Source organism: Homo sapiens, chromosome 4 (genome assembly GCF_000001405.40).
Source record: "Homo sapiens chromosome 4, GRCh38.p14 Primary Assembly".
NCBI lineage: Eukaryota > Metazoa > Chordata > Mammalia > Primates > Hominidae > Homo > Homo sapiens.
The window spans coordinates 123,589,554-123,608,245 of NC_000004.12; the positions used below are offsets into that span (position 1 = coordinate 123,589,554).

At 38.0% G+C, this 18,692-nt stretch overlaps 2 annotated features.

Moving 5' to 3' along the window:
* Positions 10,481 to 10,775: an enhancer, noted in NCBI's record as "tiled region #12612; K562 Activating DNase matched - State 5:Enh". NCBI's record gives its function as "activates a minimal TATA promoter and a strong SV40 promoter by Sharpr-MPRA in K562 cells {active_cell/tissue: K562}" and the evidence as "EXISTENCE:reporter gene assay evidence [ECO:0000049][PMID:27701403]".
* Positions 10,743 to 11,388: an enhancer, noted in NCBI's record as "NANOG-H3K27ac hESC enhancer chr4:124521451-124522096 (GRCh37/hg19 assembly coordinates)". NCBI's record gives its function as "activates a minimal SCP1, AML or CMV promoter by ChIP-STARR-seq in naive H9 embryonic stem cells {active_cell/tissue: H9 hESC(naive)}" and the evidence as "EXISTENCE:reporter gene assay evidence [ECO:0000049][PMID:30033119]".

An 18,692-nucleotide genomic window follows, 5' to 3' on the forward strand; every position in this document is an offset into this window, starting at 1 on the left:
AAGAAAGATAAATTGCATAATTCTAATCATATGTCAAATGAAACAGCAACTACAGAGGAAAGAAGACCCATATAATCAATATTTTAATTTTTTTTAAAATTCCAGAATATCATGTGGAAAATCGTCATGCTCTAGGGATAATATTTCTTGTGAGATACTATACATTATCCTTGACCTTGTCTAGCATTTTACTTTGAAATGATAAACAATATATTTTTGGCTGTTTCATGTTATTTCAGTTTCACTATCATTCATTTGACTGGGATATGTTAGTTAAGGCAGAGGTGCAAACCTTTTTGATAATAAGCTGTGCTATATATCATATTTCTTCTTTGAGTTTACTGGCTCAACTTTCCAAGTAACAGCCTTCAGGTATGTCACTGAGGGATGCTTTATGGGTTATGTCAAATACCCCAACTAAAATGACAACGAGAGATTGCTTACAATCCCTGCTGTTGACTTCTGAATGCATTGTTAGAGTCTTTACCACATCTTTCTCTGATTATTCATTTTTTTGTGTTTACTAAAGAAGAAGAATCAATGGTAGTAGATGCCCCAGTTATCTTGTGAATAATTGCAGACACGGAGAAATGGCAAATAAGAAAGAAATCAGGGCCTCAGTCACAGGGGAGGGTTGATAATGAGATTGGTGGATTTATAAGACGACAGCAGATTCTGAAGAATATTTGTTACACGTGAAAACTTTGTGACAATTACCACTTAATGACTCCTTAGGGATCTTCTAAATGAGGAGCTGTCAAACTTTTCCTGTAATGGAACAGATAGTAAATATGTTATGTTTTGTGAGTCATGTGGTTTTATCCCAACTACCCAACTCTGCATTTTTTTTTTTGTTTTTTTTTTTTGTTTTTTTTTTTTTGTTTTTTGAGACGGAGTCTCACACTGTCGCCCAGGCTGAAGTGCAGTGGCGTGATCTCGGCTCACTGCAACCTCTGTCTCCTGCGCTCAATTGATTCTCCTGCCTCAGCCTCCCAAGTAGCTGGGATTACAGGCGCCTGCCACCACACCCAGCTAATTCTTAGTATTTTTAGTAGAGATGGGGTTTCACTATGTTGGCCAGGCAGGTCTCAAACTCCTGACCTCATGATTCGCCCACCTCAGCCTCCCAAAGTGTTGGGATTACAGGTGTGAGCCACTGCGCCTGGCCTCAACTCTGCTTTTATAGCATGAAAGCACTCATAAGCGACATGCAAATGAATGGATATGCTGTGTTCAATGAAACTTTATTTACTAGAACAGGCAGTGGGTCAGATTTGGCCTGTTGGGCCTTAGTTTGTTGAACCCTGGTCTATTTTGATCATCCACATCATCTTCATCATTATTATTATTATTATTATTTTTTGAGATGGAGTCTTGCTCTGTCACCCAGGCTGGAGTGCAGTGGTGTGATCTCAGCTCACTGCAACCTCTGCCTCCTGGGTTTAAGCAATTCTCTTGCCTCAGCCTCCCAAGTAGCTGGGACTACAGGTGCATGCCACCATGCCCAGGTAAGTTTTGTACTTTTAGTAGAGACGGGGTTTTACCATATTGGCCAGGCTGGTCTCGAACTCCTGACCTCATGATCTGCCCACCTCACCCTCCCAAAGTGTTGGGATTACAGGTGTGAGCCACTGTGCCCGGCCCATCCACATCATTATTAACATCAATAAGAAATATTTATTGGACCCCTGTGATCTTTGGTGGAGTTGGGATCAGTGTTAATGTTAAGAAGACAAGGATGTGAACTTGACACCTGTGGGCCACAAATCAGCGTCAACTTTACCTATCAAATAAAGAGCAGTTTTTAAAAGAGAAAACCAGTACTATATAGTATGATGCTCAAGACAGATTCTCTTATTCTTCAGGTGTACTCTTCAGTTGTAACCCAAATTTTTAAGTGTTCACAGGTATATGTTTCTTTTTAATTATCACATGCCTTTTCTTATTTTCCACTCTACGACAGACAAATTTCTGAAATTAAAATCAAACTCCTCTATTTAAACTCTCTTTTGGGAGTATCTTGTTGGTCCTATAGAATGCTTTAGAAATCCCAAGATGTTGAGTGACATCTACATTCTAAGTGACATTCTAAGCTAAGCCATGGCTTTTCTTATGGTTTATGTGTGTTTGAGTAAGCAAATATTGGTGAAAATGAGGGTATAGATATAACTTCTTTCTTTAGTATCATAGGATTGACCCCACCTAAGATGAGGTAAGACTAATTTTATCAGATCCATTTGTCCTATTTCTACTTTCAAGATTAACATCTAGTTTTCCCTGGTAAACTGACAAAATCCAACTCACATTGTTTTAGAAAATTTAGGAGATGGGTGGTCTTGTCGTCTTACTATAACTGCTCATTTTTAGCTTTGTTTTTGACTTCTCAATTGTCCTTCCTAGTAGAAAGCTAAGTAAAAGTGTGGTTCATGAGTTTGATTATTGACATTTTAGCTTCTAGCGAGGCTCTAATTTTAGGAGTGAGAGATAGACTCACACATAGGCAGATATGTAGGGGTGCTAAAAGCATCTATTGTGCAATATTATCCTTTTTCTTTAGTGTTTGGAAAACCTGCTTCTTTGCCTTTGGGCCTATTAAAATAAAGGTATTTTATATGATAGAGGGGTATTATCAGCCATTAACTTCTCATCACACATTTGTTGATATCATGGCCAGTAGAGACAGGGTCTTAAGGGAATGAGGCCCCAGAAAGATACTTTTAAAGAGAAGGAAAAAGGGGCAGTTTGTTTTCCCTCTTATGATCTCATTTTCTCCCTCTATCTCGATAACACCAAATATACAAAGCTTCTGCAGCAAACTCAATGTGTGTTCTCGGGAACATGCTGCTCAAATAAAAATATTAAGTTAAAAATAATCAATTGCCTTATTTTATCAAATTTTGTGTTTAGCATGTATAATCTTGATGCAGAGAAACTTCAGCAATGTGAATGGCAGACCTTACACTTACTGGAGAAAAGTTCTTTTCTGATGGCCAGTCAAAACATACCAAGAAAATAGGAATGATTGGAAAGGTTACATGAACTTTATTTGACCTTTTTATGTAGTATATTTAAAGATAAAACAGTTTTGCAGTAAGAAACCATGTCAGTAGTTCTCAGGTCTGATTCATTTTTTTTTTTTCTCATTCCCTAAGCTCTCCTGTATTGAGGAAATTGCTGTGGCAACTGAGATGTAGATATTAAGATTGTTTTGCTGGTGAACCCTGGGATATGTGCAAATTGACATGTACTCAAGGGAGAATTCCCACTGCAAAGAGTGTTTGCCAGACCACTTTAGTTTTCCCCAGAAGTTAAGAGTGTACTCTGGCTAATACTAAGAATGGTCAGCCAGGCAATAGGGTGATTCAAAGAGACAAAGTCCATGAATTTGTCTCATGCTGATCCTGAGAAAAGGGTCCATTGCAGACTCTGAGAGAGAAGACTATGAAGTATCAGAAAGTTTATATGTATGGAACATTTTGTTTTTAATTTTAGAAAATTATTTAGAAAAAGGTAATATGGGTAAAGATTCTCGAAGAAAGGGATTCAGAGATACTCTGATGCCGGAGAAGCCTATCCATGGAGCAAAGGTAGAAAACTACCAATATTCTTGGATATCACTACGAAGTCACAGTTCAGGGATAGCAAAGTGGTTTCATGGAAACTGTGTTGGGAAGGATTCTGGAGATGTTTGTCCTCAGGGAAAAGAGTACTTTGATGAATTAGTGATGTCTGCTATAGGTGTGCGAGGGGGAAGTCATTGTGCATGCCCAGTAAATTTGCTTAGTTCTGGTTGAGGTACAATCTTATAGCAAGTTTTTTGATATCTAATCCTTAATTTCTTTATCTGTAATGAAGACAATGATACCTGGCCTACTTACCTGGAGACCTGTTGTGAGAATGGAATGAGAGAGTAACTGTGAAAGCATTTTGAGAACTATAAAGTGTTGGAGAGGAAAAAAAAAAAAAACTTTTCCCCTATCATCTTAGGTTCAAGACATGGGGACCTGTGAATTAAACTAACAAAAGACAGATTAACAGGAAAAAGACACACAATTTTTATTAATATTCACATGCCTGGAAATTCATAAAAAAGAAGTGAAACTCAAAGAAGTAGTTAGACTTAGCGGTTTATATACCTTTTTAACAAAGGAAAGCATTTGGGATTCAAGGGGTGATAAATTGTGGGAAGTGACTAGGAAATAGATGGGAGAATGAATGGAAGATAAGGGATATTTTAGTAAGATCTGTTTATGCAGACTCATTTTGATGTTGACTCTGCATCTCAATGATAAGAGCTGTGCTTCCTTTCCTGGTAAGGGTGGTGGTGGTGGTGGTAATGGTGCACCCTCATAAAGCGAAATCTTGGCCCTGATTTTAGGCAGATAAGAGGAGAGCAGAGAACTCTTCTTATGTCTATTGATTCCCAATTGCCTTCAGATAAAAATAATTCTTATGCTAAAGTGGCATATTTTCGGATGGCATATCTTGAGCCCCTTCAAAAGCATTCTACACATGTGAAGGTTTATTCTTGTATTGTAGGTTGCATATTTTCTCAAATTAAATCTCAGTTTTTTATAAATTCACGATGAAATTGACCCCATTGAAAAAAATGCAATGGAGATGACAGAAACAAAACCATCCTTATGTATCCTTCCCAAAATGCACCTATACTTTCACTGTCAGCCAAGAAAGATAGGAATGGAACTAATTATCTGCAAATATTCCTTGACTCCCTCACTTCCCATCTGAGATTAATTATTAAAAAAGAGTCCCTGATGGATTCCTGCCTTCAGGTATAATTACGTCAAAATTGACTGACATTTAAAGCACATATGACACTTTTTAGATTTAATTAGAGTAAATTTGTGAAATTTACTTGACTGGTAGTTTTGGGGATGGTTGGAGGCATGAAAGTATACTTAACATTATAATTTCCTGCTAATGCTAAGATTTAGCCCCTATTGGAAGGTTCTATATTCAGAATAAAATCACTTAAGAAATGAAGCCCCAGTGACTGTTTTGGTCATGAAATAATGAGCCCAGTCACTGAGAGATGCCCTGAGAAAAAAAAAATTGCCACCGACGACAGTGGAAACCCAAAATCTATAGATGTTTTAGTTAAACAGTCTTGAAGATTTTCATGATTTAACAACGTTAAAATTCACTTGCTTTGCTATAACATTTTTTGACATTGATATTATGAACAGCAAAAAGAAATGGAGTATTTTAGATCAACTCCAAAAAATTATGGATAAAAACATATTTATCTGAGTGTCTCTAATGATTGTTTTAAATTCCTCCATGTTTGTGGCTATTTCTTTTTTATAATTGTGTTAATGTTCTTTGTCTGGACTAAGCCTGCTACTGGTTTATTTTATTAATTATTTCAATAAATCAGTTTTTGTATTAATCACTAATACTTTTTTGTATTTTAGTATAATTAACTGATTTTATTTTTCTAATTCATAGTATTTGTTCTTCCTTTTCCTTCCTTCCACTTTCTCTAATTTTGTTTTTTTCCTAATGTATTGACTTGAATATTAATTTATTTTTTTCTTTCTTATCTTAATAATGTGCTCATGATTATGAGTTTAATTCAAAGTAGTTTTTTCAGCCTGGCCCATATTTTAAAATATGTAATGCATTTCATTATTATTTTGTAGATATTTTGAAACTTTAGTTTTGATATTTTCTTTGATCCAAGTATTGATTAAAAGCAAGTTTCTTAACATTTATGTGGTTGATTTTCTTCTTCATGTCCTTCTCTTCCTTCTTGACTTCTCTTCCTTCTCCTCCTCTTCTTCATCTATAGTTTATCAATGGGGTTATAGTCAATAAAGTGTTCTATGCATTTCTAGTTTGTTGTTGTTTTGTTTTGGTTTGATTTATAGTCAAAATTTTATAAAGGTACCACGAATTCTTGTAAAGTAGGTGAATTATTTTTATTAGGATAGCAATTTCTACATATCTATTATGTTAATATTAATCAATTATAGAATTGATATCAAACATTCTTATTTTTTCTCTAATTGATTTTTCCATGGACTAAAATTATGATTTAGAGTTTTCTAATCTTATGTTGTAGTCTATTTTCCCTTGCATTCCCTATAGTCTCTGCATTATGAAATTAATATAACTTTTGTGCACCAAGAAAGTTATAATCTCATTGTGGATTATATTCTATATCATAAAGTTTATTATTTGTTTTGTTTAACACTTTTGCTTGAATTTAGCCTTGTCCAATATTAATACTGTGAACTGAATTTATGATACTATTACAAATGTAATAATTATAAATTAGATGAGTAAAGAAAATGTAGCTTCTATATTTTTTACATCACAGCTAATTTTCTTCCTAAGCCTTTACCTTGTTAGAAAGAAAGAAAACTAGCAAGGCGCAGTGGCTCACGCCTGTAATCCCAGCACTTTGGGAGGCTGAGGCAGGCAGATCATGAGGTCAAGAGATCGAGACCATCCTGGCCAACATGGTGAAACCCCATCTTTACTAAAAATACAAAAATTAGCTGGGCGTGGTGGTGTGCGCCTGTAGCCCCAGCTACTTGGGAGGCTGAGGCAGGAGAATCACTTGAATCCAGGAGGTGGAGGTTGCAGTGAGCTGAGATTGCACCACTGCACTCCAGCATGAGTGACAGAGTGAGACTCTGTCAAAAAAAAAAAAAAAAAAAGAGAGAAAGAAAGGAAGAAAGAAAAAGGAAGGAAGAAAGAAAAAGAAAGACAAACTGAAGCTTGCCAAGTAATGGTATCCATATCCTTTGGATTACTTATTCTCTTTTCGAGAGAGGTTTTTTGAATTCCTTCTCCTCTCCCTGCATCTCCTCAAGATGACATTGTAGTGTATGAGGTTGGTTAAAGTAACACGGCAGGATCTGACACCATTCTCCTGTTCCTTATTGGTCTCTGTTGTGCCGTGTCTGTTGAGGTAGAACAGATCCTATCTGGGCTTTCAGGTGTTCTGGCATGGGGTTGAGAAATACTCACATTGTGTGTTCATTATTTTTTCTGATGTCAGGTCTGTATTATTCCACCAGGTGGTCTTGCTCATTGGGGTCCAGTGCTATGGCACATATGACCTTCTGGGTCCCTTGCAAACTGCACATGGGCTATGGGGACCCACTTACTAGCCCAGGTTCATGAGCGCATCTCCTCCCCTCTGTCAGTTCATATTGCCTATTTTTTTTTTTTTCTTATCATACTGATATGGCACTAAGCAGTGAGAAGGATTTTCCCTAGCGGCTTGCAGCCTTCTGCAGACTGTGTGGAGGAAGAGGGCTACTAGCCGTGATGTTTTCAGGTTTCCTCCATACTTATTGGAAAGTTTTTATAGTCCTATCCCTTTTTATGTCCATTTTAGAACTTTTATAAGTCATTTTATGCCTTAAATTAGAGCTAAATCTAAAGCACAGTACAGTCATATGCCACATAATGACATATGAGTCAACATTGAACTGCATATGTGACAGTGGTCCTATAGGATTATAATACCATATTTTGACTGTATCTTTTCTATGTTTGGATATGTTTGGGTATACAAATAATCATCTTGTGTTACAATTGCCTGCTGTCTTCAGAACAGTGACATTCCTTACAGGTTTGCAGCCCAGGACACACAAGCGATACCAGCTTAGGTGTGTAGTAGGTTATACCATCTAGGTTTGGGTAAGCACACTTCATGATGTTTATACAACAACAAAACTGCCCAACACTGCATTTCTCAGAATGCATCCTTGTCATTACGTGACGCATGACTGCATTAAAAAGGTGCAGCATCATCTGAACATCTTTTTCCTTTAGAAAGCATATTTACCTCAATTACCTATATTGTTGATCCATCAGCACATCCTGTTGATTTTATCTTCAAAACCTATCCCAACTCCATCTACTTTTTGTCTCCACCACTCCCATCCTAATATAAGCTACCTCCTCTTTTTGTTTGTTTTGTTTTGGTTGGATTACTGCAAGAGCCTCCAAGTTTATCTCCTTGATTCCGATCTACATAGCAGCCAGAGTGATTATTTGAAAATATAAATGAGATCATGTAAATTTGCAAGACTCAACAAAGGTAACTCCTTATACTTGAAATACGTTTAAATTCTCTCTCAGGTTCTAGGTGTCTATATTTTCTAGCCAATGCCTACCTCTCTGGCATCATTTCCTATCCTTCTCTGCCTTGCTGACTACACTCCAGCCAAACCACACTGACATTCTTTCTGCTGTGGAACAAGACAAGCTCCTTCCTGCCTTAAGGCTTTTGGGTAGTTTTCTCTGTCTATGGAATGCTCTTTCTCCATGACTTCTTAAGGCTGGCTTTTTCCTGGTTTTACCTTCAATCATCATATCCTTTGAGAGGCCTTCTCTGACCATCCAATCTAAAGTAGTCTTTCAGTCACACTTTATCACAGTACCCTTTCCTATATCAATCACAGCACATATTATTACCTGATTAATTTTATTGATATATTCATTAATTTGCCTCAAGCAGTGATACATAAGCTGTATGAGAGTAAGAACATGCCAGCCAGTTATCACCAATATTAATAACAGCAAAATAATACAGTATTAACTATGATTCCTCAGTCTGACTCTGTTCTAAGCCCTTTCCATGTATTAGGATCTCTAATCTTCACTGAAATCTCATGAGGTTGTTATTATCATCCTTATTTTTATAGATAAAGAACTGAGGCATAGAGAATTTCAGTGACTTAGCCATAGTCACAAAGCTATTAAATGTTAAAGTTGGGATTTGAACACAGGTGAAGTGGCTTCAGACACCACAGTGCTATGTGTTAGTTACAGAAGTTACAGATCTGAAAGAGAGGAGTAATACTCCTTTCAAATACTCAACAGTTGGGAAGACAGGCAAGTGAAAGGAAAATCACAACAAAACCTAAGTTACATATTACAGGCATCGGAGGAGGGCCACTGCTGGGTCATCTGCATTTGCTTATATAGGAGTAGAAATTGTAGAAATGTGGAAGTAGCAAATGAAACATTTTCCAGTTTAAAGTATATTGAGTAACTGAAGTCTGTAAGACTGAATTCTTTTTCTGAAATCATTTTGATATTGATTTCCCATTCATTTGCCCTGGCAAAGAGAGAGATTATTTCATGAATGAAAGGTGATGTGAGGAGACTGAAAGAAGGTGAACCCAACCATCAGGAGAAAACCATTCTTTGCCTACTTTGAATAAATCGTTTTGAAATAATGAGACATAATTAATGTCAGTGCTTTGGATTATATGAACGTTTGCAAAGATATCCAGTGCAATTCTAATGGCCAGAAATGGCAGTCTGATTACAGTTATGCCAAATAGCCATTCCATGCCTTACAGAATGTAGCAGTAAAATGAAATTAACTGTTGGCATCAAGTAGTAAGACTATGATTACAACCAATAGTGGCCAGTCTTTATTTAGTGCCATGAGCTAGTTCTGAGGGCCTTGTAGGAATTAGCTCACTTGATCCTCACAGCAAACCTGTTGAGATAGGTATTATTATGGAGCCCCATTTTACTGTGGAGGAAATTGAAGCCCAGAAAGGTTAAGCAACTGGCCTAAAATTACACAGCAATAAAGTGGCAGAGCTGGAATTTAAACCCAACCGTACGATTGTGTAAATAAAGCAAACACATAATAACCACTATTCAGTGACTATGTTTGCCTGGTGCTGTGTTAGTCACTTTCATGTAAAGGTGATGTGAGGAGACTGAAAGAAGGTGAACCTTTTCATGTATTGTCTCATTTACTCCTAAAACCCTGCTTGGTGGGTGTTAAACTCATGTTACAGATAAAGAAACCTAGACACAGATAGGATTAGGAAATTTTCCCAAGGTTATGTAAAACCAGGCCTGTCTGACTCCAAAGTCTATAGAAACTAGTAATTCATTAAACTCTTTCTAGTAGCAAGTGGGATACTGTTCTTCCTTCTCAGTAATTATGTTTACCACTTCAAGTTCTTTCCCTCTGGTACTTTTCTTTCATTCTTTGTGTTTTTATGATACACAGCTCAATAAAGCATAATATACAACCTGCTAACATTTTCAGAGCCCAGATGTGTGCTGGGCATTGTGCTAAATTGTTTTCTATTAATTACCTCATTTAATCCTTCCAGCAACCATACATCATAGGTACTATTATTAGCACCTTTTTATATATGAGGCAACTGAAGTTGAGAAAGACGTTTTTGGCAGAGGTTTGATGAAGAGTCTGGTGATGCAATTTTTCTGGAGAGAACATGCAGCATTTCAAAGCCTCATTGCCTTCCTCTGTACTGAGAATAAATGAACCCAGATTCAGAAGTTTTAACATTTTTGAACATTAAAAAATATTCAATATTATTTTAGAATGCTTTTTTTTTGGGAATCAGGGTGGCTTGGAGTTGTATTCTTTGTGGTGTATTTCTTGAAAAGATCCATTGGCTAATCTGGCTAATTCAGGACACTTCCTCTTCCTCTCCTCTTTCTGTGGCTCTCTCTTCTGTTCTCAGGGCAGCCACCATTAGCATGTGTCTACTGAAGGAACAAGTGTGGTGGGGAACAGGGTGTTGGGTCTCTGGGAAACTTATTTGCATACTTCTTGTTACAAAAGCCAACCACATCCTGGTTAAGACAATGTGCTGTCTGATAAACAGACTGCATCCCCCAGTGTCTGCCTGGAGCTCAGCCAGCGTGTGGCCCGCCTTTGTCACAAGGTGCTGTTTATTCTGCCTGGAAGTCCAAGGACAGAACAAACCAGCTAAATGAACCTTTTATTTCTCCCATTCTCTGACAGAAATTCCTTGAGTCAAAAACATGTATTAATATTAGGTTAAGGGAAAAGCATCAGAATTCTCCAAATATGCCTTCCTAATCCTGTGGAAAACATATAAAAAGCTTTGGTTTTCCTCTCTAGCTACAAATTCTTTGGGGTTTGAGAAAACTAGGAAACTTGGAAAATATAGTGCAAGGGCGATATAAAAATCGTGGTTTACCAAGACTTTTTGTTGATAAATATTTCTTTCCACATCTGTTTTCTATGTGTTTCCTTTCTCTTTTCCTCCCTCCCACCCCAGAAAACACAGACAAAAGGAAGTGGAGGCTTAAACAATTAACTGGTGACTGCAGGACCCATTGTTTAGGAATCTGGATAATTGAGTCCTAATTTCTCTGACTCCCTTCACTTTGGTAAATTATAGAAAGAAAAAGATTTTGAGACTCAGTCTCATTTTTGGCAGTTAAGGTAAGAAATCCATCTATGCTTCCGTTTTACTGTTTTTTTTTTCTTTTTCTCTCCTCTCAAAACAATTCAACATTTCCTTCTCTGCTTATTTCAAATCTAAATGTGGTACATATTTTAAGACATATTTTAACCACAAATTTTATTGGTGACTGCAATCACTGAAAGGAAGGTACTCTGTGAACACAGAAATTGTTTTAATGTTTTTAATCAATAATTCCTATAAACAAATTTTGTCTTGAGGAAATAGAATATGCAGCTATTTCCTTTCTGCATTTACAGTGACCTCTGAAATATATTACAACCACTCATCTGTATCTAATCCCACATGTGTGGTGAACACTTTAAGTAACTTATTGACTAGAATCCTTCTGGAGGTATCTGTGGAGGATGATGATAGAGATGATGTTACAGAACAGTTTGAAAAAGACGCCAATTGGCATTTTGAAGGATTACCAACATTTCTAATAAAGTCTCTGAAGAGATTTCTGGCTGCTTAAGAACAATAATATGATAGAGATTGATTATTTTGAGGTTTCGAAGTTAAATACTTGCATGTGGTGAATACTGAGGCTTATTGTGAAAATGAAAATTAGACCTATGTAGAAATCCTTGTGGAGAATGAGACGGTCAGGACTTTTATCAATGCTGCTCTTTATACAACTGCCTCTTTGGAGAAGAAGTCGGTTCACTGTCCTTGTTAAATTTCAACTGCGGCTGATTCTGAATCTTGAGGACCATTATGATGTGAAAAAAGAAAAAAACACTCACTAAAAGTTAATGATCTTTCCCTAATCTTTCAGAAAAGCTGATACTGACTGGTAGATAGTAGTGCTCTGTCAGAATTGTAGAATGAATGAATCAAGCTGATATAATTCACTAACCATCTACCCAAGCCAGGATCTGTGTTAGAGCTTTAGAGACACACCTTGTTTTATTGTGCTTCACAGGTGCTGCGTTTTCTGCAAACTGAAGGTTTGTGGCAACCTTGCATTGAGCAAGTCTATCAGCCCTATTCTTCCCAACAGCATGTGCCCACTTAGTGTCTCTGTGTCACACTGTGGTAATTTTCACAATATTTCAAACTTTTTCATTATTATTATATATATTTTTAAATTTTACTTTAAATTCTGGGATACATGTGCTGAACGTGCAGATTTGTTACATAGGTATACATGTGCCATGGTGGTTTGCTGCAATTATTATTATATCTGTTATAGTGATCTGTAATCATGATCTTTGATGTCACTATTGTAATTTTGGTGGGGGCACCATGAACTGCCCCCATACAAGATGGTGTGTTCTGACTGCTCCACATACCAATGGTTTTCTCGTCTCTCTGGGGCCTCCCTATTCCGTCAGACACACGATATTGAAATGGGGCCAACGAATAACCCTTCAATGGCTTCTAAGTGTTCAAGTGAAAGGAAGAGTTGCAAGTCTCTCACTTTGAATCAAATTTAGAAATGAATAAGCTTAGTGAGGAAGGCATGTTAAAGTCAAGATAGGCCAAAAGGTAGGCCTCTTGTGCCAAACAGCCAAGTTGTGAGTGCAAAGGAAAAGTTCTTGAAGAAATTAAAAGTACTATTCCAATGAACACATTAATGATAAGATAGCACAACAGAGGCCGGGCATGGTGGCTCACTCTTCTAATCCCAGCACTTTGGGAGGCCAAGGCAGGAGGATCACTTGAGCCTGGGAGTTTGAGACCAGCCTGGGCAACATAGTGAGACCCTGTCTCTATTTAAAAAGAAAAGAAAGGAAAAGAAAGTGCAACAGCCTTATGTTGATATGGAGAAAGTTTAAGTGGTCTGGATAAAAGATCAAACCAGCCACAGCATTCCCACAAGCCAAAGCCCCAGAGCAAGATTCTAACTCGCTTCCATTTTATGAAGGTCTGAGAGAGGTGAGGAAGCTGTAGAAGAAAAATTGGAAGCTAGCAGAGGTTGGTTCCTGAGGTTTTAGGGAAGAAGCCCTCTCCCTAACATAAAAGTGCAAAGTGAAGCAGTAAGTGCTGATGTAGAAGTCATCCAGAAGGACTAGCTAATTGATAAAAGTGACCACACTAAACAATAGGCTTTCACTATAGACAAAACAGCCTTCAGTTGGAAGAAGATGCCACCTAGGACTTTCACAGTGTTACAGTAGGTAGTCAGGCAGACATGAGCAGGTCAGGAGAGGGCCTCCTTCCCAACAGGAATGTCAGGCTACCATCAGGTGATGGTCAGGTGGTTGTTAACAGTCTCTCTAAAATAATAATTGATTGCAGCCAGCGCCAGGGAAAGGCAGTCTCCCAATAGATAGAAATATCTGAAACTGGTGATCAGCAGCTTCCTGATAAAATCTAGGGGCTGGGTGAGTGGGCTCAAGCATATGCACTAAGAGGCAAAATATTGGAGTTTAACTGGTATTTGACCTTCTAGGAACATTCGACTGGTAAGAGAACGCCTCAAGTGAGCACACATACATACAACTCCAGTAAACACACCGTGCATGCAGTCCCTCACAAGTGCTGGCAGCCACTGTGCATACGGACAGCCTGCCCAAGGGAAGAAATGGGAGATGTAATGCAGCCTTGGAAGCATGCCAACATATGACTCCCCAAATCAAAGGTCAAACCACGTACTTGATTTTCTTAAGTTGCCCACTTGGCCCTCTTCCAAGCGTACTTCCTTTCATTCCTGCCCTGAAACTTTTATTTTCTTTCCTTTTATTTTTATTTATTTATTTATTTTTGAGATGGAGTCGCACTCTGTCTCCCAGGCTGGAGTGCATTGGCACAATCTTGGCTCACTGCAACCTCAGGCTCCTGGGTTCAAGCGATTCTCCTGCCTCAGTCTCCTGAGTGCTGGGAGTACAAGTGTACACCACATGCCCAGCTAATTTTTGTATTTTTACTAGAGACAGTGTTTCGCCATGTTGGCCATGCTGGTCTCGAACTCCTGAGCTCAAGTGATCTGCCTGCCTTGGCCTCCCAAAGTGCTGGGATTACAGGTGTGAGCCACCGCGTCTGGTCCCTAAAACTTTTAAACAAACTTTCACTCCTGCTCTAAAACTCGACTTAGTCTCTTACTCTGTGTTTTGACTTTTGGTCGAAGTCTTCTGAGGATGTGAGAGTTGAGGTTGCTGCAGACCCAAATGGATTTGCAGCTGCTAACACAGCTATAGAGGAAAAGTCAATGTCTGGCTTCAAAGCTTCAAAGGACAGGCTGACTCTCTCGTTAGGGGCTAATGCAGCTGGTGACTTTAAGTTGAAGCCAATGCTCATTTACCATCTGAAAATCCTAGGGCCCCTAAGAATTATGTTAAATCTACTCTGCCTGTGCTCTATAAGTGGGGCAACAAAGCCTGGATGACAGCACATCTACTTACAGCATGGTTTACTAAATATTTTATGTATACTGATGATCTACTGCTCAGAAAAAAAGATTCTTTTCAAAATATTACTGTTCATTAACAATGGACCTGACCACCCAAAAGCACTGATAGAGATGTACAAGGACATTAATTTTGTTTTCATGCCTGCTGATAGAACACCCATTCTGCTGCCCAGGTATCAAGAAGTAATTTAGACTTTCATGTTTTATGATTTAAGAAATACATTTTGTAAGGCAATAGTTGCCATAGACAGTGAATCCTCTGAGGGAATCTGGATGGATCTGGGCAAAGTCAGTTGAAAACCTTCTGGAAAAGATTCGTGACTTTAGAAGCCATTTAAAGCACTCGTGATTCAGAGGAGGACGTCAAAATGTCATGAACAGGAATTGGGAAGAAGTTGATTCCAACATCATGGATGACTTTGAGGGGCTAAAGACTTGGGTGGAGCAAGTAACTGTAGGTGGGATGAAAATAGCAAGAGCACTAGAATTAGACATGGTGCCTGATGATATGATTGAATTACTACAATCTCATATTAAACTTTAATGGATGAGGAGTTGCTTCTTGTGGATTGATGAGCAAAGAAAGTGGTTTCTTGAGATGGAATCTACTTCTGGTGAAAAATCTGTGAACATTGTTGAAATGACAACAAAAGATTTAGAATATTATATAAACTTAGTTGATAAAGCAGTAGCAGGGTTTGAGAAGAGTGACTTCAATTTTCAAAGAAGTTCAACTGCGGTAAAATGCTATCAAGCAGCATTTCATGTTATGAGGAATCTTTCACGAAAGGATGAGTTAATTGATTTGGCAACATTTATTATTGTCTTAAAGAAATTGCCAAAACTGGCCAGGCACGGTGGCTCACCTCACTCCCAGCATTTTGGGAGGCCGAGGCGGGCAGATCATGAGGTCAGGAGATCGAGACCAGACTGGCTAACATGGTGAAACCCCGTCTACTAAAAATACAAAAAACTTAGCTGGGTGTGGTGTCGGGTGCCTGTAGTCCCAACTACTCGGGAGGCTGAGGCAGGAGAATGGCATGAACCAGGGAGGCGGAGCTTGCAGTGAGCCGAGATCGCGCCATTGCATTCCAGCCTGGGTGACAGAGCGAGACTCTGTCTCAAAAAAAAAAAAAAAACCACCCCAACCTTCAGTAGTCACCACCCTATACAAGGAACAGCTATCAACGTCAAGTCAAGACCTTCTACCAGTAAAAAGATCATGACTCGCTGAAGGCTCAGATGATTGCTAGAATTTTTTAGCAATAAAATATTTTAAAAATTAAGATATGTACATTTTTTAGATATAATGCAATTGCACACTTAGACTGTAGTGTAGTGTAAATGTAACTTTTATATTCACTGGGAAAATTCCTGTTACTCGCTTTATTGCAATATTTACTCTATTGCAGTGGTCTGAAACTAAACCCCCACTATTTCTTAGGTATACTCCTATTTACATTATTTTATTTATTATGATATACATCAAGTAAAAATGTTCTTTGTATACTTTAGAAAAATAGATGTATGAAAGGAATTGCAACAAAAGCAAAAATTGACAAGTGGGATCTAATTAAATCAAAGAGCTTCTGCACAGCAAAGAAACTCATCTGAGTGAACAGACAACCTACAGAGCAGGAGAAAATTTTTGCAATTCATCCATCTGACAGAGGTCTAACATTCAGCATCTTCAAGGAACTTGAATTTATAAGAAAAAAATAAAAAAATAAACCCCATTAAAACGTGGGCAAAGGACACGAACAGACACTTCTCAAAAGGAGACATACAGGTGGCCAAAAAACATGAAAAAAAGCTGAACGTCACTGATCATTAGAGAAATGCAAATCAAAACCACAGTGAAATATCATCTCATACCAGTCAGAATGGCTATTATTAAAACGTCATAAAACAACAGATGCTGGCAAGGTTATGGAGAAAAAGAAATGCTTTTACACTGTTGGTGGGAGTGTGAATTAGTTCAACCATTGTGGAAGACAGTGTGGCAATTCCTTAAAGACTTAGAGGTAGAAATACCCTTTGACCCAACAATCACATTACTGGGTGTATACCCAAAGGAATATAAATCATTCTATTATAAAGACACATGCATGTGTATGTTCATTGCCACACTATTCACAATAGCAAAGACATGGAACCAACCTAAATGCCCATCAACGACAGACTTGATAAAGAAAATATGGTACATATACAATGGAATACTAGGCAGCTGTAAGAAGGAATGAGATTATGTCCTTTGCAGGGATGATGAAGCTGAGAGCCATTATCTTCAGCAAACTAACACAGGAACAGAAAACCAAATACCACATGTTTTCACTTACAAGTGGGAGCTGAATGATGAGATCACATGGACACATTGGGAGAAACAACACACACTGAGGCCTGTTGGATCATGGGGAGTAGGAGGAGGGAGAGCCTCAGGAAGAATGGCTAATGGATGTTGGGCTTACTACTGGGGTGATGGGATGATCTGTGCAGCAAACCACTATGGCACACGTTTACCTGTGTAAACCTGCACATTCTGCACATGTACCCCTGAACTTAAAAGTTGAAAAAAAGAAAAAAATGAAAAATAGATGTAAAAAGTATGTTCATTGTCAGATTTTTTCACTCTGTTTCTCCATATCCTCTGCTCCAAGGTACTTTGATGAAATGTGTCCTGCCATGGCTGCTTTATGATCTGATATTGAAAAGGACTGTAGGCATTTAGAATGCATATATTTTATTGTCTTTAGATATCCAGTACTACAACATAATGTCTTCCACAAAGTGTTTCGAGTCCTGCTATAGCTGTGGCTTAGCTCTTCTTGTGGGAACCTGTGTGTCTTATGTTCTCTGCTTCCTCCAGGAGCCCCAGTTATCTCTTCAGGATTGAAGGGAGATCAGCATGGCTGCCTCTTGGATATTTGACTGCTCAATATCATTTCTACCAGATGGTGCAAGAGGGAAATCAAAAAACGCTGCAACTCAAACCAGTTTGAGTTTTAGCAATTTTGCTACTTGGTTCTAGGTCTGGTAAATGACTGGACCACAGAAGGAAGTTGAAGTTGTAGGTTTTTCGTAACCATTTAGCTCATTTCCCAGAGGTTTTGCTGGCCAGGGTGTTTGAAGATAGAAAGTGGCTAGAGTGTGGTTTCAGATCTGGGGCTTGTCTCTCTCATGAGAGAAAATGGGATAAAATTTAAAGGTCATTCCTATGTTTGAAAAAATGATTGACCAGGCTTATACATGAGATTATTTCTGCAACACCATTTGGAGGGTGTGTATGCCAATCATGTGGCTCTGTAAGGTGGAAGGAGGCATGATGTTCAGTTATGGTTGTTTTTATCTCAAGTTCTTTGACATTCAGGGCATGAGACAAAAGTATATAGTTTTGGTTTGGCATTCTGTGACAATCCAGCTGAGTTTGTTTTCTTCCTCTTCTTTTATGAGGTATTTTAAGGTTTAGATGTTCTTTTTACCGTGAAATCTAATTTAATTGTGGTTATTTTATTTTTCTGTATATGTGCCCAGAGATTTTTGGTTTATTGGTAAACTTTAAAAAATACCACAGTGCGTGTAAACATATATAATTTAAGAACCAGTCATGATTGAGGCCTATGATATCCTTTGGAACATTCTTACTTGGAAGCAATTCTAATTAACAAGATATTTTCTGGTTTCCTTCTTGTATGCTTTATTAGTAATAATGCTGTTAGTTAGCTACAAATCTTTAGTCCCATGGTTGACTTTTTCCCCATTCCCTTTCCTAGTAACCAACTGTATTGTAGTTATTTTTCATAAAAAATATGGCAAACTTGTGATAACAAACAACCAATATGATAGTGATAAGAATAGTCAAACTCTTAAAAGTCAGAATTTTGCAGATGTTCTTTTATTTTATTTTATTTTTTTGAGATAGTGTCTTACTCTGTTGCCCAGGCTGGAGCACTGTGGTGTGATCTCGGCTCACTGAAACCTCCGCTTCCTGGGTTCAAACGATTCTCCCACCTCAGCCTCCTGAAGTAGCTGGGACTACAAGCATGTGTCCCCACACCCAGCTAATTTTTGTATTTTAGTAGAGA